Below are 27,767 nucleotides of genomic sequence, written 5' to 3'. Positions count from 1 at the left end.
TTGCAACCAATCCGATGTTTAGGCCCACATGTATCCCCACTTTCTGAGATACTTGATGCCTCCAATTCCTGAGACTTTCTGACATTCTGTAGCAAGAATCAACCTGTTTCTGGGTTCTCATTACTGCCAGCTTAGATTTCTGCCTTTTCTAGACTGAATTTTTAACCCTTTAGTGAAATTTAAGGGGACTACAGGAAGGAATGGTAGTAAAGATTTATGTTCTATCCACTGTGTTTTAAGGTTGAAAACTCTTTACATGTTTATTGGCCACACATATGTGTGACCATGAGAGACAGAAAAAAAAAGGAAAACCAAGACTGACAGCAAATTGTTCCTGTCCTTTGCTCAATTTTCTACTAGGGTGACAATTTTTTTGTAATACTGTTTCTCATATTAAGGATGTTAACCCGCTAGTATGTACCAAAAATTTCTTTTCCACTAGGAAATCACAGGATGGTGACATAAAAAATTGCTACTTGCACCTTTAAGTCTTAATCAGAAGTCCCAATATTCTTGAGTTGCACTGGTTCCAGAATTGTCAAGGGAGAGGAAACAAAGGACCATTACACAGAAAAAACCCAAACAACAAAACAAAAATAAAAATTTCACAATTGCCATCCCTGCATTAAGCGTTTTGTTATGTTCTGAACATCTGTGTCTTCCCCAAAGTTCATAGGTTGAAATGCTAACCCCCAAATAGATGTGATTAAGAGGTGGGACCTTTGGGAGGTGATTAGGTCATGAGGTCAGAGCCTCTCTATAAAAGAGACCTAATGGAGTTTGTTAGTTCTTTCCACAATGTTAGGTTATAGTTAAAGAATGTCAACTAGGAAATGGGCCCTCGGCAGACACCAAGTCTTGATTTTGGACTTCCCAGCCTGCAGAACTGTCAGAAGTAAATTAGTGTTGTTTATAAACCACCCAGTTTATGGTATTTTGTTATAGCAGAATGAATGGACTAAGACAGTTGTCAACTTGAGCTTTTTTTTTTTTTTTGAGGGGGAATTTCGCTCTTGTTGCACAGCCTGGAGTGCAATGGCATGATCTCGGCTCACCACAACCTCCACCTCTCAGGTTCAAGCTATTCTCCTGCCTCGGCCTCTTGAGTAGCTGGGATTACAGGCATGTGCTACCACGCCTGGCTAATCTTTCTATTTTTAGTAGAGATAGGGTTTCTCCATGTTGGTCAGGCTGGTATTGAACTCCCGACCTCAGGTGATCTGCCCGCCTTGGCCTCCCAAAGTGCTGGGATTACAGGCATGAGCCACTGTGCCTGGCCGAAACTTGAGCTTTTATACAGGAAAAAAAAATAAAAAATAAAAAATAAAAAAATCCTGACGTACCAATGGCCAGGCATGGTGGCTCATGCCTGTAATCCCAACATTTTGGGAGATCAAGGCAGGAGGATCACTTGAGCTCAGCAGTTCAAGACCTGCCTGGGCATCTTAATGACACCCTGTCTCTACAAAAAAAAATAAAGTTAGCTGGGCATGGTGGCCTGCACCTGTAGTCCCGGCTACTAGGGAGGCTGAGGTGGAAGGATCACTTGAGCCCAGGAGGTCGAGGCTGTGGTGAGCCATGATTGCACCACCGCACTCCCACCTGGGTGACAGAGTTGAGTCCCCATCTCAAAAAAAAAAAAGTATAAAGCATTTATGTGTATGGGATGTCAGCCAGATCTGCTGAGTTTACTGACTTTTTTTTTGCTTTTGCCAGGATTGAAGAGTTCTTGCATGGATGCGAAGAACAGGTTATATTCTATTCTGCTTCACATATCTACAAAATTGGCAGCCAAGTTGTGATGCCAGAATCCTTACTGTTAGTAGTGACAGTTGGTAGCTCGTAAGCAGCGGAGAGAAAACATCTTAATTTTCAAGTTTATCAGGTTGAAATCATAGTGCTGGCACTTGGAAAATCTTGCTTTGACTTATAAATTTATAAACGAAACAAACTGATACAAAAGCCAAAAACAGAGTAAGTATGAAATAATGTCATATGCTTTATTCTAACAGTGACTACATTTTCAAAGAAAGGAGAAAATGGAAAAGTGACTGGAGGGAGTACTGTTCTAAGCAGATATTTTATAACTAAGTACTCGTTTCAGAAAAAGAAATCTGACATTTCATCTAGCATTATGAAACCTATCAGGTCAGGGTGTTGCTCACCCTATACCTGTGGGATTTGAATGGACAAACTGAACTATTTTTGATCAACAGTAACACTTTCATATAATTCAACTAACACAGAGCAAAGTATTACCAGATATCAAAAAACTGAAAAGGTATTCAAAATGAATATAAAGCATGATTTCAAATGGTAAGTCAATTCCTTCATACTAAGACCACATACACACGTACATAATTTCTCACAAAATATAAACTAGCAGGCATTCCCTCTCCTAAGCACAAATGACTACATCACTTATGTCACTATCTTCAGGATCCATGAACTTCAAAAACCTTTCATTCAACCTTCTATTATCTATTATAATGTTTAAGAAAGGAGAGTTTAAAATAATGCTACTTTTATATCTCTGCTTCTTGAGAAGATGACAGGTTGGGTTAAAAAATAGGGACAGGTTAATTAACTTTAATTAACTGGAAAGTTCAGGGCAAAACACACAGAGCTCCTATCTACCTCTACCATTTTCCATTTACCCTTGTGCAGAAATGCTTTCCCTTTCTTTAGTATCTTTTAAACATAAAAGACTGGAAAATTTTAAATATAGGATTTTTATAAAGTGATTAAAACAGCCACTTTGCAGAGAATACGTTTTGTCAACCTTTAGTTTAGCAAAGTAAATTCTTAGGGGAAAAACATTTTTCACTCCATGAATAATGCAGTTTTTTTCTTTATAGAAAACAATGAGACAACCAGGCCAACATTTTAAAATTTTCTTTGGAAAATAATTCCTGAATTTGAAGCTCTAACAATACAGCTTCAAAAATTCAGAAGCAATACACACCACCTTATGATACGGTTTTTGCTTTGCTCTAGCAGAAATCCTCTGAAGTCTCAATCCCCAGCATAATGTCTCCCAGATGTCTCAACTAGTTGCCATGCCAACTAAAGCAGCTTAAATTAAATGAGGGCCTGAAAAGACACCTGCATCACTCCAGGTCTGTTGCACATTAAATAAAGCTCTCTTGACAGGGACTCAGAGGTGCCATTAACTTGAACAGCATCTATCTGATTATTGTTTCTGAGAAATTTAATGAGGGTCTCCAAACAAGAGTGAAAACAGGGTGCTCCTTCCCTCTCCTGGTCTTTCTAAATGGGACAGCCACTCCAACAGCTGGTGTACCCACTGGGTCAATGAATTTGCTATGGCCCTTTAAGTTACCATTGGATGAAGATAAACTATAGGACCAAAGTTAAGGTTTTCAGAAGAATATGAGCAGATTAACCATCTCTCCTATTTAAACGTGCCATTAAAAATATGATTGTTAAAAACACACTGTGCATGGTATGCCAACCTCAAAGTGATTTGAACAGCCCTACTATAAAACAAATTGCTGCTGATTGCAGCAATTAGTTAAGTAGCTCCATGAAATATGGATTTCAAATGTACTGATTTGCTTCAAAAAAACCTGAATGATGCAAGTGTTTTAGTGGGGGCGGGGGAAGGAGGTAGCTCTGATGTCTCAGGTGCCCAAGAGAAGTAACAATGTCTCTGTATTGTTTTAAAGAGTTAATTTTTAAAAACAATATTACAAGCTTTTTTACTGCTTTCTCATGTTAGTCACTGGAGAACATCACTTAAACACAAACTTGGGCTAGAGAAGTTATATTCTTTACCTAAGGTCACATTCCCAGTCAGTAAAAAGCCAAGACTAGCTCAGGTTTCCTGACTCCTAGTCTAGTGCTCTCTCCACTCCCACCAAGCTGTTTCCCGTGGAAACTTGCCTTTATAGGTCTGCTAATCCAATTTCTTAACCAAATATCACCACCATAAGCAGGTTTCTATGAAACAAAAAATAGTTGAATTATTCTTAATTATGGGCTATGAGGAGAAGAAAAGGAGAAAGGATATTAATGTTTACTTGAAGCTACTATGTGCCACTTCATATATGATCTCATTTAATCCTCATAACACCTACTTTATAGCTGCTGTATTTCTATTTAAGAAATAAGCACACTGAGGCTGGGAGAGGTTACGCTGCTCCACACAGAGTTTGCATTTAAATCTAGATTGTAATGATTCTGAAGTCTGACCCTTTCCATGAAGTTCTATTACCTCAATTTGTTTACTATTAAAAGAGAAAATGAAATACATGAGACTGCCATTACTCGAATGCTGCAAAAACCAGGCTTCAAGCAAAATCAGAAAATCAGTATTGTATTACATAATGTAGTATTCCTTCCCTTGCCATGTTTTTTCCAAATGAGAAGTCACTGTCTTCAATCTTCAACAAATTTTGAATAGCAGCATGTACAAGATGCCAATCTAGGTACTAGAAATGCAGTGGTGTACAAGACAGCCCACTGCTTTCACTGAGAAACTCAACAGCCTAACAAGGGAGACAGACAATTAAACAAGCAACTGCAATTCACTCAAAGATTACAACACTGTTATGGCTATTCATCTCATAAAGCTCCTTAGGTTCTGATTTTCAATTGAATAAGCCAGACTTGCCATCATAGAGCCACCAGGAATAAGAGCAACAAAGTTGCACAACAAAGATATATTCTTCTAAAGAGATAAATCTCTAAATTAGAATTACTAATTTCCAATAACTAAAGAGATTTCAACAAGTGAGAAACCATCAACAAAAAAGCTTTCTTCAGCACCTACAAATTTCTGAATTAGATGTGCAAACTAATTGGCAATTTATCTATACTGTATGAAAAACACATACACTCATATTTGGTTTCCTAAAATGGTTCATCCTTAACAAATTTCTTTAAGCCAGATACAGTGGCTCACACCTATAAACCCGGCACTTTGGGAGGCCGAGGCAGGAAGATTGCTTACGGCCAGAAGTTCAAGACCAGCCTGGGCAACATAAAGAGATCCCGTCTCTACAAAAAAATTTAAAAATTAGCTGGGTGTGGTGGTGCGCACCTGTATTCCCAGCTACTTGTGCCTAAAGTGAAAGGATTTTAAGTTTAAGCCCAGGAGTTCGAGGCTGCAGTGAGCTCTGATTGCCACTGCACTCCAGCGTTGGCGACAGAGCAAGACCCTGTCTCAAAAAAACGTTTTTTAACAACAACATGAAAAGTAATAAAAATAAAATGGACATTTATTGAGTGCTCACTATGTGCCAGACACTTCTTTAAGTACTTCATATGAACTATTTCATGAATCCCCACAACACAAGTAGCAGGTTATGCTAAATAACTAATTTTTCTCTTTTTGAGGTTTAGTCTTTCCTTTCAGAAGAAATTGAATCCAAAGACACCTGAAGTAACTGCTCAATCCACCCAAGTACTTTTATTCATTTCTTCCAGCACCTGAATTTTAGTCTTAGTTCTGTTACTGGCAGAACACAACCAAAATAAGAAATAATCCCACATTTGCAGAGGATTTATCTGTTTGCTGAAAAGTATTTTTGAGCTTACCATGTGCCACTTTTAACATAGGTCACCTCATTTAATCCTCATAACAACTTGTGGCTATTTCCACGTAACAAGTCTAAACTGCTAGTGAAGAAATGTCTGACAAATAATGATACCCTTTTGGCCAATGACTGAAAAATAAAAAGGTTAAAAAAATCAAGAGGCAAATTTTGCTACCTCATTCTCTTTGTCTCAGTGTCTCTTTCTAACCTCCTGAGTATTCACTTCCTTCAAGTATTTTACCTCTTACCCTTCTTTAGTCAAATTATAAAAATAATCTTGACGATACAAGAAACATTTTCCCTGCACTTATGAATCATATATGCTTAAATAGATTCATATCCCCTCATATTTTTTAAGTGCATGAGAACTAAAAAGTTAGTGCATACGTATGTATAAATGTGTATAAATGTTTATGTGCATGTGTATATAAAAAAAGGAACTCCTGGCTACTTTTTGTGGGGGGGTGGGGGCAGGGTACAGGGCTTGGACTAGTAGCCCTTTACAGATTTCTTTTTAAAGTCTAAATGAGAGATTGCTGGAAATACAGGACAGGCCTTTGATGGGAGATCAAAGTTAAAAATATAAGTTTGGGAATCATTAGATACAGTAAAAATTAACAATTTCTACTTTCTACTAAATGAAATATGCCACACTGAGGTATTTATTTGCATTTGGTTACAATCTGCTTTTCATTTGCATAAAAGTTTATCTTTAAAATTTATTTTTCCATTTCTTTCCTTCTTTTATTAAAAAACCTGGATATTAAAATTATGGAAGCTTCTCACCATTAATGGGTTTTAAATTCAACCTTAACAACATGACATTCTTTAGAATAATGCAACCAGTGTCAGCAGCTGAATTGTTAGTGGACAGTGCCCAAATATAACAAGCAGCACATCCTGCTAGATTCCCACAAAATTTGCTGAGGAAGAAAACGTTATCATGGAGGACAGAATTTGAGGCAAGAAAAAGCAAGAAATGAGACATCTTCTGAAGATCAAGGACATTAGGTGGGAACATATTAGAGATATCAAAAAGGGAGAGAACAGAGAGGGTTGCTTAGAATTAAAAATAGGCCTGTACAATTTTCTCTGACGCAAAAAAGATTATGGGCAAGAAGACCAGGTAACTAATCTAGAGCCTGGCAGCCATCTACACCTCAATGATAAGCCTCTCCTGACCTCTTGCTCCAATTAAAGCAGATCTGTACCATGATCAATATTTGTTTAACCCACCTATACGATGCTGCATCTATTTTAGGAAGTAATTTAAGAATGCATAATAATCAGCCTCACACCAGAAATACTGACTACCCCAACTGTCAAAGGTAATTCCTCAGAAAAAGCTACACAGTCACCACAGAAACAAATGCTGACATCAAATTCTGACCTTCAATTATAAATAAGATGATTGAGTACTTTTCTGTTTTTAGGAAGTCATGATTACTCAGGGAGTCTCAGAGCCTTCAGGACTGGTGCCAACAGCATCTTTGTTTAACCATCATCATTAGCATCAATAAACACTGACTGGGTACTAAGTGGGTGTAGAGAACATGTTAACTCAATGACAAGACTGAGAAAAAAGATGGATGAATGCAAGGCAACAGCCAAGAGGTTGGAAAAAGACTGACATTGACATGTAAAAATCAAGGAGAGAGGGCAAGAAGGTGCAAAAAGATTTTAATGTAAATGAACAAAGAAGCCTGACTGAAAACAGCTGAAATTTACTGCAATTTTCTATGTGTTAGGCATCCAGCTTTAAATTTATTTTGCCTCACCTACTCCTAATTACTGTAAGAAGTAAGTCCCATTATGGGTTCCCATTATACAGAGCAAAGAGGTTTAGAGAGGTAAAGAAATTAGTCAAAGGTCTTAGTGTGCAGCGGACGTGGCACTAGATCACAGCCCTCGTTCTTGTACTCTGTCCTTCAAAAGATAAAGTAAACTTCAAAAATAGAAAACTAAAAAAAGAGGTAAGAACAAAACAATTCTACTTCAGGAGGGAGAAGGCCTGGAAATTGATTTTTAAAATAAGGAGTTAACAGGTTCAGCAGTGGGAGGCGGTGTGTTTGTTGTAGGCTTTGGAATCAAAATGACCAAGGTTAGAATCTTGACTCTGCCACTTAGTAGCTTGATAACATTAGGCAAGTTAAATAACTTCTCTGAGTCTGTTCCTGCATTTATAAAACAGGTACAGGAACACCTACTACACAGAGTTACTGCTAGGATTTAGAATCACATATAAATGCCTGGCACACAGAAAACGATTTAGGTGGTAGCTGCTATCATCATCATCATCATCGTCATCATCATCATCATCATCATCAACATCGTTATATGAGGGAGGAGGGGAAATGAGTTTTTTTTAAAACATCAATACATGCTAGGTGGTATGCCAAATGTTCAACGTACATTAATTCATTTATTCCTTTAAAATAACTGTGAGTAAGAATATCATCTCCATTATCATTGAGGAAACTGAGGCTTAGGGAAGAGTATCAAGTAACTTTTTGAAGGTCAAAAAGCTAGTAAGTGGAGGAAAAAAAATCAGGATTTGAACTCAGAGCTGCCTGATATCAAAGTCCATGGCCTTTTTCAAAATGTATGAATGTGCCCCTATTTCTTTCCAACATTCTCCCCAGGGAAAAAAGCAAAAGAATATAAGGAACAAAGAAACTGGCAACCACTCAAAAAAGCTCCTTTTGGCTGGGTGCGGTGGCTCATGCCTGTAATCCCAGCACTTTGGGAGGCTGAGGTGGGTGGATCACCTGAGATCGGGAGTCAAGACCAGCCTGGCCAACACAGTGAAACACTGTCTCTACTAAAAAATATAAAAATTAGCCAGGTGTGGTTGCGGGCACCTGTAATCCCAGTTACTCAGGAGGCTGAGGCAGGAGAATCCCTTGAACCCTGGAGGTGGAGGCTGCAGTGAGCTGAGATCATGCCACTGCACTCCAGCCTGGGTGACAGAGTGAGACTGTCTTTAAAAAAAAAAAATGCTCCTTTAAGCCACTGTGATCTCAAAAGGAAAGACTAGGCCATCTCAAAAGGATATCATCAATGAAGAAGGAGAAAAACTTTATTCACTTTTTATTAATGTGGTCTCATGCAGGGTTTTTGGCATCAAAGAAACATGTCCGTGACAGTCACATTCCTTTAGAGTTTACTCATTCACTCAAAGGACAAAAAGCCCTTGACTTACACCAAGAAAGGTTTTCTACAGGACATATTTTTGACAGATGGGAACTTGAGGGAACAATTAAAAGTACTAGTTTCTGTGAGACCTCTGAGAACCTCTACAGAAGGTAACTCCTGGTTTTGGTAAAGGGTTAATAACCTGAAGCGTTTCTTAGTCTTGAGCTCAGAGTGATAAATATTACCTATCAGATTAGTATTCTTCATATTTAACCCTAATTACAGAAAAGGATTAATATTCTATAACTGATTAATAGTCCCCATATCCCCCCAAAACAAAAGCACACATTAAAAACCCCAAAACTTTGCTTACTCATGCAAATCATATTTTCTTTGGTAAAAAAAATGCCACTTCAACCTGATCCTATTTTCTACCATCTGGTTCTCTTGCCACCTCTAAGTGATGTAAACTATCAATTAAACGTGTAATTTTTAAACCCACTGCCAAAGATACAATTCAATATTTTTGATTAATACTTAATAATGACAGGCATAGAATATGCAGAGAGCAAAATAATACAAGCAGCACATAAATAAACTGTACTCTGGCTAAAATCCAGATTTGTGCTAGTGTGCTACAGGTCTATTAAGTTTCCTGAGGTACTGCTCTCAAATAAATTGGGTTGATAGCAGGAGACTCAGCTGGTCTATGAAGTGCCTAAAAGCCCCACTGATTCACCATATCCTCCAATTATGGCAAGTCTGATATATTTAGTGGCTTCTGAAACCTCTAGGTCTCCACCTAACACATGCCTCCTGGTGTCTAGCAATCTTAAAAAATAAAGTCAACACAGTGGGACATGACAAAAAAGATCAAATAAATACAGTCCCATGAGCTTCGCTAAACTCTCACACCTGAATTAAGTATGTCAAGAGGTTAATAATCAGAAGGTTAACCAGAAGGTTAAGCAGTTCAGGAGAATGATAATGAGGTTATGAGGCTTTTCAGAAGCTCAAATTAAGTGTGGCTTTGTTATTATTCAATATTACCCTCTAACAGTTGGGAGCACTGACAGCATTTCATTCCCACCAGCTGGGAAGTTTTAGAGATATATTTATTTTTTAATGGAGAGGTGAAAAGACTAGATTCAAGCTTTAGTTTTTTTTTTTTTTTTTTTGGCTTCACCTGGAACACAGGTGTTTCAAAGAGCTAGCGTGAATAAGTTGTTCCAACTATAGTGACTCTCTTCAAAGCAGAGGGAAAAAAAATCCAGCTGTTGAGTTTGAACTTTAAACAGTGCTTTAAAACAATCTCAGGATTTGCTACACACTAAATCATCTTTATGCAGACAGGAAGGCCTTTTAAATGAACTAAAAGAGGTGATGTGAGTTTTACTACATGGCATAGGAAGGGGAGTGGTTCTTGGGATCTCAGGCTGAAGCAGAAAATTATGTCGTATGTAGATGGCGGTCAATTTTCTATCTTCCCATGTTCAGGCCTGCCAACATAGTCTATGACTTACATTTTTCACACCCTTCAGAAAAAAAGAAGAAAAATAAAGTTGATTCATTACATAGCATTTAGAGAGTCAATAAGAACTGGGAGAATTTACAAAGTATTACAAATAAATGCTTACCGATGACAAGGTGTTGTATAAATATGTCATAATAAGGCACTGCTGAATAAACGCTTTTAATAACAGACAGCTAACCATTGTGGACAGTTCAAGTTGTGCGTATGTGTGAAAAGTTGTGATACTGTCTTATGTAAAAAACTATCAGGTCAAAAGCTTTTGCCATCTAGAGTTCAGAAAGATAGTGGGCTGGCTTCCCTGCTCAACTGAAGTCTGAGAACATATTTAATATTCCAAGTGCAATGAGCTACTGATGCTGTATGACGTTCTAATGATGCGTTAAAAACTTTCAGATAGCAAAATAAAGATATTTAATTGGTTTATCTGAGTTGGGAAAACAAAATGGCAACATGTTGTATCAAATTATTTCCTACAGAATGAATATGGACAGAAAGCTTTGAAAACCCTATTTTAATTCCTAAACTCTCTTTACTATTTCAGATAATGGAAACTTAATCATTCTTTTTTCATTTAATATGGACAGAAACTAATGCTAAGCCAGATTACAAAAAAAGAAATCTTACAATATTAAATATTTATCAAGTAGGTCCCATATTGGTCAAAGGTTCTACAATCCTTTTTTAAAAGTTTTCATCTTTGGCTGGGCATGGTGGCTCATGGCTGTAATTCCAGCACTTTGGGAGGCCGAGGCGGGCGGATCATGAGGTCAGGAGAGCGAGACCATCCTGGCCAACATGGTGAAATCCTGTATCTATTAAAAATACAAAAATTAGCCTGGTGTGCTGGCATGTGCCTGTAGTCCCAGTTACTCAGGAGGTTGAGGCAGGAGAATTGCTGGAACCCAGGAGGTGGAGGTTGCAGTGAGCCAAGATCATGCCATTGTACTTCTCCCTGGGTGACAGAGTGAGAATCTGTCTCAAAAAAAAAAAAAAAAAAGTTTTCATCTTCAATGTGACATATATTGGAACAAATATGAGTCAGGTGACTTTTCCAAAAGACATAGTAAATTTGGTTTAATAAACTGTAGTACATAGATGCCCAAGCCTGGCCCCCTCAAGCCACAGATTCTCTTATGACAAGTATATGAATGACAGTTAAAACATGCTTAAGCAATAACACAGTTAAGCACTTTAAACACTAACATGCTTAGGCACCTTAAGCACAAATTCTGAAATCCTGCCATTCCTGTCTGAAAAAAGAATCTACAGCCATAAATGTGTGAGACTTAATAAAATCTCCTGCTCGTTTTTTTTTTCTTCCAAAATCAGGTGCACAGGGGAAGGAAGTTTCAGCCTAGTACTCAGATATGAAACTGGCTGATCTGAAATAAAAGTGAGGGCATTGAATAGCGTGGATAATGACAATCTGGTTTACAGATATGGTTGATTTCAAACAATGCTTTCCACATGAAAGAAAAACAGCAATGTGTCACAGAGAGCATTGTGTTCTCTTGTAACAAATGGTCAGCCGTAAATCTCATCATCTTCTTTGCAACAAAAAGCATGGGAGCCTTTGCAACTAGAAAAAAATCGGTGTGCTTCAATTAGAATCACTGACCTTTTCTGAAGCATGCCTGTGCTTCTCTATAGAAATCAATGGAATAAAAGGTCATGTTGTTAAAACGTTTGAATACGACAATCTCTTTCCCAGGCAAAGGCAGATTCTTTTTCTTTGTAAAGTAACAAATTTGTTGTATAGAATGTCAAAAATTAAAACTACCTCAGTTGTAATTTAAAACTGACTAAAAAAAAATCAATCCAATCACCAGAAAAAAAAGAAAAAAGCGGGAAAGCTGTCATTCTACATATTGTTACAGTCCATAAGGTCTGTCAGATGAGTATTTTTCACTAAGGCTATAACCATGTATGTAATAAAACAAGAAGAGCATTCTAGAGAAAATGATGTTATTTTAAACTTCAGCTCTCTCCTTTACAAAGTGCTCTGGAGAAGGCAAGGCAAGCTCTGTGTCTGTCAAACATAGATGGCAGAGACTGGTGATTAATCTTCCACCGTCATAACCCTCCAAAGCAAATGCATATGTACATAAACCCAGAGATTAAGAGCTGAGGAACAGAAGCCAAAGTGACTGGAATAGTCACTGTTTTTTGGAGTATAAAAAACCAAATTTGAAAGAGGAGCCTCTATATAGATTAGGAACATTTTACTGTATCAATTTCTTCATTCATGAAGAGAAAGGGCAAATTCTTCGATGATCTCTTAATGCATTCAGAAGGTAAGGGATGAACATATCAGTCATGTAAACTTCATCGTCCTTCTTACTGCCAATACAATGAATATTAACATTTTCTCCAAAAGACAATGAGCTTTCAAATTAGACCCAAGTAACCTTTCCTTAACACGTCTGAAAAACTTACTTCCATATCTAGACAATTTGGTGTCAAATGTCCTTCTGCTCAATAGAATTTGAGAGCATTTACTCCAGTATGATCTACTGTAAAGCTGCACAAATGATGTCATTAAAACCTGAGAGCAGACTGCTACCAGTGTTACAAGCAACCGCAACAGCATTTTGAATGGAGGGCAAGTCTCTAAACACATCAATCTACAGATGCTAGTCCTTACCTACTCAGTGTTACCCATCACCAGTGTAGCTCATTTGTGGTTGGAGATTCTAAAAGACAAAGTTACTAAAAGAAACAGTTCTGAAGAACAGAGAAGATTCAAAATAAACAGAGAACAAAAATCTACAAGAAGAATTTAGGAAAAGTATATCAAAGAGTCTGTTTCTGAGTACTTTTTACGGGAGTTGAAAAGAGATGAAATAAAATAGTGGTCCATTTAAAAGGATCTCCCTCCTCTGTCTAGATAGATGATACAACATAGTGCCTAATACATTTGTTCACAGTACCCACTTTCTAATTCTTACAGAATGAATATTCTATTATGCACTTAGTTGTGCCATCTATTAGCACTGTTTCATATTGTTATTTAATTAGAAAAGCTATGCAAAAAGGGTTACACGGACCCATGAACAGGAATTAGACATGGATTAAAATTTTGTGGAAAAATGAAAGTGTTACTAGAGATATTGAAAATATACTTATCCTACTAATATGTAACTGTTCTTACACGAATTGATACAGGAAGGACTACTGAACATGTTTTATTCTATGAAAATTATTAAGTTGCAGGTAAGTCTTCCCAGCTCTTTTTTGGGGGGTGGGGTAGGGGAGTAGAGAAGGAGTCCAGGGCAGGTTTTTTTTTTTTATCCATAAGACAATTTGGTTAATGTCTCTATTGTAAAATTGATTATTCTGGTACTATAATTATTTGAAAACTGTCTATCATCTCTATTAAACCATGAACTCCTTAAAGGTAATGGCAACAACCATATTTTGTATTACCTGCTGGTACATCTTTGCTGAGGGTAAAGTTAGAAAGGGCATAAAACAAACATTGAGCATCATGAAAAACCATCTGGGAAAATGCCAAGCATCATTCTGTTCTTCTTTCACGACAGTCACTGCCTCTCAGCTCCAACAGTCAGGTCCTTGTTATGGTGTTTTTTAAAAATTGTGGTAAAATACACACAAAATTTATCATTTAATCACGCTTCAGTGTGCAATTCAGTGGTATTAAGCACATTCACAATGTTGTGCAACCATCAGCACTATCCATTTCCAGAACCTTTTCATTATCAAATACAAACTCCTTGTTAAGATTTTAAAGTACATTTCTGATTCTGTTATTCTTCATCATAAAAATCTTTCATTGGGGCCCAATGTCAACTGAATAAAGACCAATTTCCTTAGTTCAACATTCAAAATCCCCCATGACTTGGCCCCACCTAGCTTAATTTCTCATTATTTCTGCATATCAAACTCTGGCCAACTAGATGATTTACCATTCCCTAATTATGCTCCTGATACTTACTCTCACCATCTGGAATATCTATCCTCTTCAATGCTACCTGTCCAAATCCTTCTCATCCATCAATGCTCAACTGAAATGTCTTTTCTCCACACAGTTTCCTTATCGTTTTTTTCTGCCTGAAGTAATCTCTCCTTTTAAAGTCCCACACTACCTCACTATATTCTTTTGGCACATTCTACCACATGTTAGTTATCCCTTTACAGCTCATCTCTGCCCCATTGATTGTAGTATCTTCCTTCAGGGAAAGCATTAAGAGGCAGCAGAGCATGGTGGGTTGAGAGCACTCCTGGCCCATTGGACTATACAATATGGGTTCAAATCACAGCTCTGTTATTTCTAAGTGACGTTGGACAAGTTATTTACCTCTCTGAGCTATAGTTTCTTCATCTATAAATTGGAGATATGAATAAAGTAATTTAGGATAGGGTCTCACATATTACATTTTTAAAAAAATTAAATAAATGAACAATGCATCTTTGTATTCATCCCAGAGGTTAGTACAATGTCATATACATAGTAGTGCTAAAGGTTTGGCTGAATGAATAAGCAAGGCTAACCAGATACTGACAAAAATGGTGGTTAAGTCAGGAATTTATCTGTTCCTGGATTGTTCTATCAACCTTTCTTTGGTTTTTCCTTTCTTTAAATTTCTGTTCTAGGCTTCAGAGATAAGGAGAAAGGATCAGTGATAGTGGGTAAGTGAAAGTTTTTGTTTTTGTTTTAAATCATCAAATGAATTTTCTAGTAATTCAGTAGGAAACTAAAATGGGAAAGAGTAAAAATCAGAACCCCTCAGTGCTCTCAGGATACCTTGGTTCTTTTGTTTTTTTTGGTGGGGAGATGGAGTCTCTCTCTGTCACCCAGGCTGAAGTGCAGTGGCACGATCACTGCAATCTTCACCTCCTGGGTTCAAGAGATTCTCCCGCCTCAGCCTCTTGAGTAGCTGGGATTACTGGCACGTGCCACCAAACCCGGCTAATTTTTGTATTTTTAGTAGAGACGGGGTTTCGCCATGTTGGCCAGACAGGTCTCGAGCTCCTGACCTCAGGTGATCCACCCACCTCGGCCTCCCCAAGTGCTGGGATTACAGGCATGGGCCACTGTGCCTGGCCAGTTCTTTTCTATCAGTATACTTTCCAACCTATACTATTGTCATTATTTATGTGATTGTATCCTCTACTAGATTATAAACCTGGACCAGAAATCATCTATTGGTTCATTTACCAAATATTTATTTTGTACCTACTTTATGTCAGGTACTGTTCTAAGTACTGGCAGTGTAACAATGAATAAAACAGAATTTCCTGAATGTGGAAACACAGTTGATGCTTATGTTTATGCAATAAATGAATAGGAAGTTCTTACAATATGGGAATCTTCAAAGCTCCCAGGATATAGATTTCTGGTCCTTAGTAGTACCATTATTGAAGAAAGAGTACACTTACATAAGCATATATGCATTTTGTTTCCATTGTTCTTAGTTTTTTAATGACTCCTAAGATTCCCTGAGGGTTACAGAGCTGCTTCAAAGCACTAGAGACTCTTACTGGCTGAAATGGACACACAGGTTTCCTCACTGTCTTTATGACAAGAGATTCCTATTTAAAACACTGCCTGCACAAGCAAAACCTATCATCCAAACAGTGACACTTCTGAGAGTGAGAACTTCACAATAATTGCGCCAGAACATCAAGTAAAATCCAAGACTGTCCCAACAAACCAGCGTGTACGGACACTCCACTAGACTTCTCATTTCCACTGAGTTTAGAATGTAATTGCTTCTAGCATAGAAGACTCACACCACCCATGTTCGTCTTCATAGAATGCTAAGTTATGCTTCAAGTTAAAAATAAGCTTTTCCCAAAGCAGACCAAATTTTTATTTCCAACCCTGTAGGTAACTAGTGCTTTCTGGGAAGGGGCCTGTTAATGTGCATTGTAGAGCATCCAGAATCCTGACTGAAGCATAATAAACTCCGTTTTCTAATAAACAATTAGAACTGGTTTCTCTTGATTTAAATTTCAGTAGGCTCAAAGTAATTAAGTACCAAACTGTTTGCATACAGATTTCCAAATAGAAACTCAAAGTACAAAATGAAAAATGTAATCCTTTAAAAGCTAACATCAGCTCAGAAAAATATATAATCTTTAAAATTATTAAATAATATATTTCCTAGATAGATTAAAAACTATGAAGACAAAAAGTTAAAAGATACAGAGGTCATGATAGAATTTATTGCTCCTTTCACATCTGACTTGCCCTACATCTGTTGAACCCTGTAGGCAGATTTATAAAAACTTACAGTCTAGATATTGACTTTTTTTTTGTTGCTTCAAGGAGTTATCTAAAAATGCATGGTGTTTCAAAACCCACACTAAATTTTTGGTGAGCACTGGCATAATAATTTTATTACAGTTTCAGTCTCTTTTAGGAAATACATGATTAACTGCATGATACTATACACCGATACTCTTACTTTACATCTGATTACATCAAAATGCACACAGAACTCAAATTTTCTAAAATTATATTAACTATTATATTAGGTTTAAAAGCGCCTGCTGGTTTAAAATGTTTGTCTATTAAAACTTGAATATGTGATATATATCCCAATTTTTCTAATCTTAGAAAAAGTGTAATGATGTGGTACTTTATGTACAGTGGATAATTACTTAGGATTATTTATTTTCCCTCACAACTTAAGTAATATAAATATATATTTTTGACTCGATGTACTGACCCATTCAACTAAGTATTAAAGAACCCATTAGATGTATAACGATATACTAAGAACTTGCCTAAAACAATAGCACTTCATACAGACCTCAAAAATAGTTTCTTAAAAGCATAATTCCAGGATCACTTATTTAAAATTCAAAATATTATCTACTGTAAAATCTGTAGACACAATAATCCTCCAAATTAAAAAACATCTAAAGCCATTTGTAATGTGTGCGCCATATTTCGGAGACACTACAGAGGGAGCTGCTGACATAGATAATATAGTATGCTGAATTCATATAGTAACTTGAGGTCCTATTAATCTTTAATATTTTTATGTTTTAGGTAATAGGTTTTTTATTTTTCAAGGAGAAAAAAAGAGGAAACTGAGGAATTTTTTTTTTTTTTTTTTTTGCTTTGGCTACAACAAATTTATTTGTATCAAAAACACAGGACACATGGCCAGGCACAGTGGCTCATGCCTGTAATCCCAGTACTGTGGGAGGCCAACAAAGCGGCAGATCACCTGTGGTCAGGAGTTCAAGACCAGCGTGGTCAACATGGTGAAACCTCGTCTGTACTAAAAATACAAAATTAGCCGGGCATGGTGGCATGCACCTGTAATCCCAGCTACTTGGGAGGCTGAGGCATGAGAATCTCTTGAACCTAGGAGGTGGAGGTTGCAGTAAGCCGAGATTATGCCATTGTATTCCAGCCTGGGCAAAAAAGAGCGAAATTCTGTCTCAAAACAAAACAAAACAAAGGACATGGAAAACTTCCCATTTAGGACACTAAAAGAATCAGCAGTGAAGGCAGAACATATATGTAACTAAGGTATTTCTTACATTTTCATTTAATAGTTGTTCTATAATACAAGTTTTCAGTATCTTGTACTCCAAGCTAAATCATTCCTTCCTAAAAAGTCTTTATAATCCTGTGGCTGCTATAGGTATGATTCCTTTTTATGTTAAAAGGATTCAGTTTTTTCCAATTGACACCACTATTGGAAAATGCTTACCTTTTTTCTATGCATACTTCTACATGTAGCTAAGAATTATAAGGCAGAAAACAGAAGACTACTGAAGTTTAGGTTTGAAAGATTTGATTTTTCCATCTGTAGTCAGCTAATTACTGTGAGAGTAATGTGTCAATTTTTTAACCTGAAGCTAAAAAATTAAGTGATATGATAGGATGAAATAAAATAAAACATTTAAGTAAATGGTATACCAGAGGGTTCCATGAATATTTTTTGACAAAGGCTCTTTACTTAAACATCTGCGAACAATTTTGAGGAGGAAAATTTCAAAGAAACATTCTAACTGATGAAACGGGTTGAAATTTGCTACCAACAGCTACTAACCTATATCACTCATGGTTTTAAACCATAACTATGCTAACTTTCCCTCTGTTTTGTAAGTATTTGAAATAATGATGAATCAAAGATCTCCTAGACTCAATTAAATTATGGCCAATAATAATAAGTGACTGAGAACTCTTATCTTACAGAAGCACATACACAGTTTTCAAACCAAGTACCAAAATTAATGCCTGATATAAACAATATGTGCCTGAACTATAAGGTAGAAAATGGATATAATGAATTAACTAAGTGTTCAATGAAGAGAACCTAAATATCTTTGGCATTTATTCAATATATCCACATTCACCAATTATCTTACATGGAAACATTCTTTCTTCACATATGGCCTATGTGCAGTAAAGGGTTAACTCAGCAGACCTGGGCTGTCCAAACCCTGCACATTCCGAAAGTCTTCAAGACTGGCCCCTGACTTCTAGGAAATAACCTCTGGGCCACTGCAATATCCACCTGACAATAGTATCTTAGTATACCTGGGGCTTTGGGCATGCCAGATAGTTTATGCTAACAATATGATATACGGTGAATACCTGTCTTTGTCTGGGGCCTTGGGCTACGCCATATTAGTTTGACCTCTGGAGGGGAAGGGAAAAAGGAGGGCTGGAGACTCGGCAGCTAAGGTCACTCACATGGGTGCTCCATGCCTATGTGACTGACCCACAATAAAAACCTTGAACACCAAGGGAATAACAGCTTTTCTGGGTCCTGTGAGTTCTTCTAGCGAATCACTGAGCCTGAGGGTGGTCTTGGGAACCCCCAACACATGCTAAAATATAGCAAAATTCATATTTAATAAAGGAAATTTCTTCTAATTTTAAGGTTTGGTTTCAGCAACTTCATTTCCAAAGAGACAGAAACAGTACTACACACTGATAGGAATGCTACTATATGGATTTCTTTCCCACCAACTAAAAAGAATAAAGAGGGGTAGCTCCTGGCCAGGTATAAGAAGGTACTTCTGCTGAATGAAACAAGTGGTGATCCATTCCCACCAGCTCTCTCCTTTTCTTCAATGAAGACCCAGGTAATCTTCAGGAAGTCTATGAAATGGAATCATTAATGCTTTCTCCTCAGTTGCTACTACTGACCTACAGTTGAGGAGAAAAGAACTTTCTCAATCCTTCTACCCTTAGGTTAATTTTGTACTTTTAAAATAAGAGTTTGTCAGAACCATCTGGCCAGGTTCAAGGTTTCAGCTATACAAAGACATTCTTGTCAGCCAGGAACCAGTCAAGGGACAGTCTTTTCTTTGGAATGTGCAGAGCTGGGGCACCCCAAGTCCAATAACCCTTCACTGCACAAAAGGATTAACTCCATAAAGGATCTGTGGATTAAAATATCACCAAAGATTACAGTTTCCCCTCAGTATCCAAGGGGGATTGGTTCCAGGACCCTTGGAGGATACCAAAATCTATGGATGCTCAAGTCCCTTATATAAAATGGTGTGGTATTTGCATATAGCCTGTATCCAATCCTCTGTATGTTTTAAATCATTTCTAAATTACTTATAATGCCTAATAAAATATAAATACTATGTAAGTAGTCATTATATTGCTTTTTAATTTGTATCACTTTTTTTTGGCGGGAGGGCGAGGTCTCACTCTGTCGCCCAGGCTATAGTGCAGTGGTGTGATCACAGCTCACTACAGCCTCGACCTCCCGGGCTCAGCTGATCCTTCTGCCTCAGCCTCTTGAGTGGCTGGGACTACAGGCATGTGCCACTACACCCAGCTAATTTTTTTTGTATTTTTGGTAGAGACGAGGCCTTGCTATGTTGCCCAGGCTGGTCTTCAACTCCTGGGCTCAAGTGATCTGCCCACCCTGCCTGAGCCTCCCAAAGTGCTGGGATTACAGGTGTGAGCCACTGTGCCCACTATACTTTTTATTTTTTTATTTTTATTTTTTTTTCAAATATTTTTCATCCATGGATGCAGTTTCACATCTATGGAGGGCTGACTAGCATTCAAGAGCTTTTGGTTTAAAAGATCAAAACATCCCAGCAGTGTTGATCAGTGACAATTCTATTACCATATAAGGTTTCCCAAATCCTTACCCAGCTTAGTTCTCTTGGGAAGCTCTTAATTGTTCCTATTTTCTAGGAAGTTATCAAAGATAACAATCTCATATGGAATTACCAACCCCCTGTGTAAGAATGAGATTTTCATTACCTCACTGGTGAATCAGAAAAAGTATCTCACTATTACATTGGTTTCCATTCTGAGTCATAGGCCTAAAGTATTAATAAAAAAGCCTAGAGTTTGAATAAACTGCACTATCATGAGCTTACCAAAATCAATGACTTAGGATTTCCTGTCTTTTATTTAAAGCTTTACCAAGTTAAATGTGGAATGGAAACTGGTGACACTTTGCCCAGGAATGTCAGGGAGGTTAACTTATGTCTCAATTTTTTTCATGCACAGTCCCAGGAGCTACTACCATGCATTATTTTATTATTACCATGGAGCTATCACCAGGCATTATTTTAACATTATTTTATAGTTCATTATTATTCACAATGTCTAACATACTATTTTTAAACATCAACAGTAGTAACAGGAGAACGTTAAGGGCTCTAGCCTGAGAATCACATAGGTAAGGGCTGAAAGCAAGACTACATAGTCAGAATACCTGGAACCAAATCTCCATCCCCACACTTACTAGCTCTGTGATCTTGGTCAATTTTCTTACCTTTTGTGCCTCAATTTCCTCTTCTGTAACATGGGAATAATCACAATACCTTCCCCAGAGAATGTTTGTAGGATTAAATAAACATGTGTAAAGAGCTTAGAATTGTGCCCGGCATCTGATAAAAACTATATAAGTAATGGCTATTATGTCAATATCACCACTACCACCACCATCATTCTAAGGAACATAAGACAACTTAACTTACATTAATTCTACAATTTCTATCTTACCCCAAGTGTTATAATAAAGGGCAGTATTACTCTCTTAACCGACAGGCAGCTGTTGTATAGTGGTAAAAGCACTTTCCTGGGTTCTACTACAACACAGCTGCCTCACTGGTTTCATCTGCAAAATGGGGATGGTAATAATCTATCTCATAAGGCTGTGTGGGGATTAAATATCTGTTCAGATGTTCTGTTCTGTGGCATCACCACACAGGATATGTTGATAATACTGAGCTCTGCCAGACACACAGGATTTCAAAATTACCTGGTTCCAGGTACTCAATCACTTCTGCAAGGATGAGATTTAAAATACTTGAAGGCATGAACCCCAAAAGGTGCTAGAAGAACAAATTAATTTTAAAAATTGTCCCCTTCTTTCACATTCCCTGGTTAGGATACATTTCTTCAAAATAGTCAATGTGTGGAGGTTGGAGTATGTCAAGGGCAGAGAGTACCTGAGAAAAGGAAAAAAAAAGTCAAATTTAGAGAACAAAAAAGGAAACAAAATTCGACATAAATGCAAGTAAATACTAACAACTCTTTAATGCTTTAAAGCTTAGTTACAATTGCCCACTGAAAATTAAATTCGTCTGTCAAGAAACACAGTACTAAACATTAAGATGGATTCGTACACTTACTATCCAAAAGACTTACAAAATGAGAGAGGCAATTGGGTTACACCACACGCTACCAAAATCCCTGCACAGGAGAGAGTTTTTGAAATAAACACCCTATTTTAAACAATCAATGTTACTCTAAGAGCGTGAGAAGCCACATCTATCATTCATTCCTTTATTCCTCTGTTCAACAAATCTTTACTATGTGCATTCTACCTGGCAAGCACTAAGCTTTTAGGTTATCCTGTTGAACAAAATAGGCATCATCCCTGCTCTCATGACTACAGAAGAGGTAAGCACTAAACAGTTACAGATATGTAATTACAACATCTATTACTATGGAGGAAAAATGTAAAGAAGGGTAGAGAGAAAAAGCTTCCCTAAAGTAACACTACTCTAGAATTTGAAGGCTGAGTGGCAGTTGGTTGATCGATGGGCAGGCAGTGTAAAGACACTGAGGCAGATTCTAGAGACAGAAAAGCCAGTGCTTATTGAATATAGAGGGTAGGAAGAAAATAGACTAACATAAAGTAGAAGAGGAAGACATGAAATACACTACACAAAGTCTCTTTAAATCATACTAAGCATTTTTGATTTTATTCCAAGATTCTTGTAAGAAAAGAAGTCACTAGGGTGAGGAAAAAAGACTTTACGACGCAAGTCCTTTATAAAAGCAGCATAGTACCCGTGTAACTTCCGCCATCAAAACATAACAAACAAATCCCCTCCCAGCTGTCTTGCTAAGCTAATGAGAAATACCAAGCTCAAAGGACATGGAAGAAACTACTTAACAGGAAATAAATTGTGTGGTACTAGTTCAAATTTTATGATCTGTAGCTTAAATTTTTTTTTTTTTTTTTTTTTTTTTTTTACTACAGAGAACTTCAAACATATAAAAGTGGGCAGAATAGTATAGAGAATGCCCATGTAATCAATACCTGGCCTCAGTTATTCACACACATGAACATTCTTATTTCATCTCTACCCTTTACTCTCCCTATATAATTCTCAAGCATATATCAAACTTATTTCAGCCATAATCAGTATCTCTAATGAAAAAAAGGTTAAAAATTGCAATGATCAAATCTAAAATGTAAGTGTTTAAAAATATCATCAAATATCCAGTTCTCAAATTTTCTATTTTCTCATATTAAAAAAAAAGTTTGTTAGTCTAAATCAGGAGCTAAATAAGATTTACATAGTATGACTGATAATCTAAAGGTTTCTCCACCATCTCTTTTCCGTTTCCTCTTGCAATTTATGTGTAGAAGAAACCCGGTTCATTTTAAAGGTTATTCTTGTTTCAGCCAAGCATTTCTCACTATAAATTTTAAGTAAAAATTTATTTTATGCATTAAAGCCTCCTGTAATGAAAAATTCTTCACTCACTTTAAAGCCAGTTGGAGGCTTTTAAATAGTTTAGATGTTTTTATAAGGAATATCTATCTTTCCTTTTGAATTAAAATGTTTATATTTAGAATTTTGGTATAAACAGAAAATAAGAGATTTTCCAGTTTCTTTGAAGAGTAATTTTTTTCATATGACAGATGCATTATTTCATTTCTATATATTTTTTAAACCTATAATTAGCCAGCTATATTTTTTAAACCAATAAATTCACACAAATTTCTCATTATGTGCCAGAACAATTTTTAACATGAATATTTGACAACTGAGGAAGGCAGTTAGAAATTAGTGTTTTACTTGACATCTTTCGGACTCTCAACTCTGTATCTGAGCAACACACATCCTGTCTAAGGGGGAAACAGAATGCAATGAGTGACAGCGTCCATTATACAAAGCTATTTTACACTTCAAATCTATCTGCTATAATTAGAGGTTATCTAGAAGAAAGTGACAACCATACATATTAAACCTTGATAGAGAAGAATGAGGCTTTCTTACTCCATATTTGATGAGGCTTTTTGTAAAAAAGCCATATAAAACAGGGATAGACATTTGCACTACAGCATTTAGCTGTGATTGTTAGTTCAAAAGGTACAATATTTTAAACTATGCCTGGAATTTTTTAAACGCCTGTTGTTTTATCCTCCTGCTCTTTCTACTCCAAAATGTTTATCAGAGGATGGCATTCTACAGTGCTTCTAGGTGGTAAAAACAGTATTTAGACCAGTAGAAATGATCTAGGAATCTCAAAAGCAATGTAAATGAGTAAGTGAGAAGGTATAGTGGCAGAGTTCGAAACTCCAGACTTCATGCCTGACACCCCATTTAAATAGCTAGAGATTCTCTATAAGCCCCACTATTATTTGAGGGAATAAAGTATGTGAGATTAGCCTTAAGATATAAATACGTGCTTGTAAAGACTTTGGCTTATAAAGAGTTGAAGTATCCTCAAATACCACACTCTTCAAAGGATTTCAAATACAAAAAAATACAAGCAGACTTGTCTAATTAAAAAATGAATTAAAGTTATGTCTTTAAATGATAGTCATTACCAAACACATTTCTTAACAGTGTCTCTGCATATGTCACAAATCTTTTAAGAAACACAAAAGCTCATTATGTTAGCTGCTTTTTAGGATTTTAACCTCCATGATGTTAGAAGATTCACTATAAACTGGTTACATAAGAAAATAGCTTAGTCTCAGTCAGCCCTTTATCAATAAAATAATTCCTGTGAATAATCTCAATCCTAACTATAAAGACAAGAAATTTATCTGTTAATTCATAGAATCAACATTTACTGAGTTTCTACTCTGCCAAGGACTCAAAGACAAGAATAAGAATAAGAATAAGAATATAAGGAACACAGCTAAATCCCATTTAGCAAAGGAGCTACTCTTTTCCCACTCTCTCCCCATAATAGATTCTAAGTTCTTTACGGTAGAGACTATATCATTATTATTTTTTTTTATAGAGTTGTAGCATAAGGTATACAAATCCTGAGTATAACTTGATCCATTTTTATATACACACATATTTCTATGTAAATACCACCCAGGTTAAGAAATTAGACATTTTAGCCCCTTTGCTTTTTTTTGAGACGGGAGCCTTGCTCTGTCTCCCAGGCTGGAGGGCAGTGACATGACCTTGGCTCACTGCAACCTCTGCCTCCTGGATTCAAGCGATTCTCCTGCCTCAGCCTCCCAAGTAGCTGGGACTACGGGCATGCGCCACCATGCCCGGCTAACTTTTGTATTTTTAGTAGAGACGGGGTTTCACCATGTTGGCCAGGCTGGTATCGAACTCCTGACCTCGTGATCCACCCACCTTGGCCTCCCAAGGTGCTGGGATTACAGGCATGAGACACTGCACCCAGCCCATTTACCCTTTTTTCAGTCAAAACCCATCCTGGCACTGTTTTTACTTCTGTCACCAAAGATTCATTTTGTGTGTTCTTGAACTTTACACAAACTGCATAATAAAGAGTGAAGTCTTTTGTGTATAGATTCTTTCATTTACTGTTATGCCTGTGAGATTCATTCATGTTCCTGTGTGAATCAGTGGTTTATCCTTTTTGGTGTTGTGTACTGTGCTATTATTGAACTGGACTATATCACAAAGTACTTATTCAGAGTGCTGTTGGCAGACATTTATATTGTTTCCAATTGCTACCTATTATGTGTAATGCTGCTATGAACATTCTTGTACACTCTTTTAGTAAATATATGCATTCATTTCTCTTGAGTGTATACGAAATAGAATTGCTGGGTCATTGGGTAGGTGTATATTTAGCTTTAGTACAAATTGCCAGTTTTCTGAAGTAGTTTTACAAATTTATGCTCTCACTAGCAATGGATTAGAGTTTCAGTTGATCTATGTCCTTGCCAGCAGTTGGTATTGTCAGTCTTTTTAATTTCAGCCAATCTGTTGGGTACATAGTGTTAACTCAATGTCGTTTTAATTTACATTTCTCTGATGAATAATGACTTTGAACACTTTGATATGTTATCCTCTTTCGTGAAATTTTTCATTAAGTCTTTGGGCAAAACGTCTTCATTTATAGAAGGTCTTTACATATGATATTTAGATATATAACTCAGTCTGAAAAATATCAAGTAAAACATTTATTTCTAATTGTCTTCCTCAAACACTGAATATTTTAAAAATTGTTCTAGCCCATAATATTTTATGGGAACAAGTATTTTATTGGATATATGTTTGAGGTCTGTCTTTTCATTCTCTTAATTGAACATTTAGTTCTTAACATTAATGTTAATAGAAATTAACATTAATAGTGTCCAATTAAACAATTTTTTATGGGTGTTTTATCTGTCCAGTTAAGACATCTTTGCTTATCTCAGTCATGAAGATACTTGCCTATGTTTTATTCTAGGAGTTTTATTATTTTACCTTTCACATTTAAGTCTATGATCCATTTTGAATTAATTTATGTATATGGTACATGGCTAAGGTTAATTTTTTTAATATGGATATCTCACGGACTCAGAACTGTTTATTGAAATGGTCATCCATTCCCGACTGGATTATAGTGGCACCTCTCTTGCAAATCAGGTGAACATGTATATAGTATGCCAGTTTACAAACTTTCTATTCTGTTCCATTAATCTATCTGTCTATCCTTGTTCTGGCTCCATATCTTGTGCTTTATACCTTCTGTTGCTCCTGGGATTCAGTCTCAATATTGGACAACAGTCTCAATACTTGGTAGTATGAATTTCTAACTTTATTTAACTTCTTTAAGATTGTCTGGGCTATTTTGTATCTTTTGCATTTCCATAAGTTTCAGGATGTTTGTGAATTTCCATACGCATATAGACATAAAACCTTGCTGGGACTGTGATTAAGATTATACTGAAATGTATAGCAATACTTGGGAAGAAAAGACCTATCAATCACATTGAGTCTTCCAATCCATTAACATGGGAGACTGTATTATTTTAAATGTGACAGTAATCTGCCTAGAACTATAAACTTTAGGCACACAGCAAACAAAACCAAATTCCTTGAAAAGTAACCTACCTCTACATCATCCTTTGCTTTTTCCAACTCCTTAGCGGCACAACAGTTAGTATTAGTTAGCACTTAGTATTACTAATGTCTGAACAGCATGTCTGTATTAAAAGATAGGCCATATCTGTTTTTCCCATACTGTATGATTCTGTAACCTACTTATGAACCCAAAGGGGTGTTGTATGAGTTAGGTCAGACTATACAAAGGAAAATGAATGAAGCTTCTTTGTCTCATTCTAGCCCTCTCTGGAGCACTCCAGAGCTAGGACAAGAAAAAGTAACCCCAAGAGAGAGATCACAGAAGTTATCACTCCAGGCCCTTAGATTTCTTTTTTTCTGTCACTTTCATTCACTCACTTACTCTTCAAATAGAATCGCCGCCTACTGTGTACTTAGTGTTATTGTCTAAAGACAAGAAAAATGTCCAAGACTTGCGTTACAGGGGCTCTTGGCAGGAATCAATAGACCCTAAGGGGGCTCTAAATGGGCTTTAGAGGACAAGTGAAAGCCTAAAATGACATTAAAATTGTATATATGTGCATTTTTCTGACAGGATTCATAGCTTTCATCTCAAAGATCCAAAAAACCTAAATCATCACTTTCCCTGCTGATCATATGACAACTATGCATGTATATACATACAAGCACAAATGCATAGATGGGTAGAGAGAAGATTCTGCCAGATTTTACAAAAGCTCAGATAGATACTAGTAATAAGCCTAAACACCAATTTTTAGAAAGCTAAACCCATTTCTGTTTCCCCAAGTTACTTCATCAAGGTGAATGTGTTAAGATGGTGAAGCAGGTACTCAGATGTGTGTGTGTATGTGTGTAAAAATTCAGTCAGGTCACCTGAAATCAATGAATTTGATACAGTGACTTTGAAGGTTCCTTTCAAAAGAAAATCCAAAGCCTCCCAGGCTTTGTTACTATTCTTTGACACATAAAAAGCCATCCAAATTAAAATCCAACCTTCCTACAATGACCAAGATCTTTCTAAATGCCATTTTTATCAT

At 36.6% G+C, this 27,767-nt stretch overlaps 1 protein-coding gene and 1 long non-coding RNA gene across 5 annotated transcripts in view; both read right to left on the bottom strand.

The window, feature by feature from the left end:
• Positions 1 to 27,767, bottom strand: part of NLK (nemo like kinase) — a 163,398-nt gene that overhangs the window by 51,804 nt on the left and 83,827 nt on the right. For all 4 annotated transcript variants that reach the window (XR_934482.2, XR_001752526.3, NM_016231.5 and 1 more), the window contains exon 3: positions 21,596 to 21,651. Coding sequence is in view for 2 of the 4 variants with exons in the window: in NM_016231.5 (NP_057315.3) it covers positions 21,596 to 21,651 (56 nt within the window). In the remaining 2 variants the exon portion in view is untranslated. The remainder of the gene's footprint in view (positions 1 to 21,595; positions 21,652 to 27,767) is intronic.
• On the bottom strand, positions 1,980 to 10,979 carry LOC105371711 (uncharacterized). Its single transcript, XR_007065686.1, has 2 exons — positions 10,855 to 10,979; positions 1,980 to 10,231 (listed from the first exon to the last, which is right to left on the bottom strand). It is a non-coding gene; the product is annotated as an uncharacterized LOC105371711 (long non-coding RNA).

Source organism: Homo sapiens, chromosome 17 (genome assembly GCF_000001405.40).
Source record: "Homo sapiens chromosome 17, GRCh38.p14 Primary Assembly".
Lineage (NCBI taxonomy): Eukaryota > Metazoa > Chordata > Mammalia > Primates > Hominidae > Homo > Homo sapiens.
This window is presented reverse-complemented; position numbering and strand designations above follow the sequence as displayed.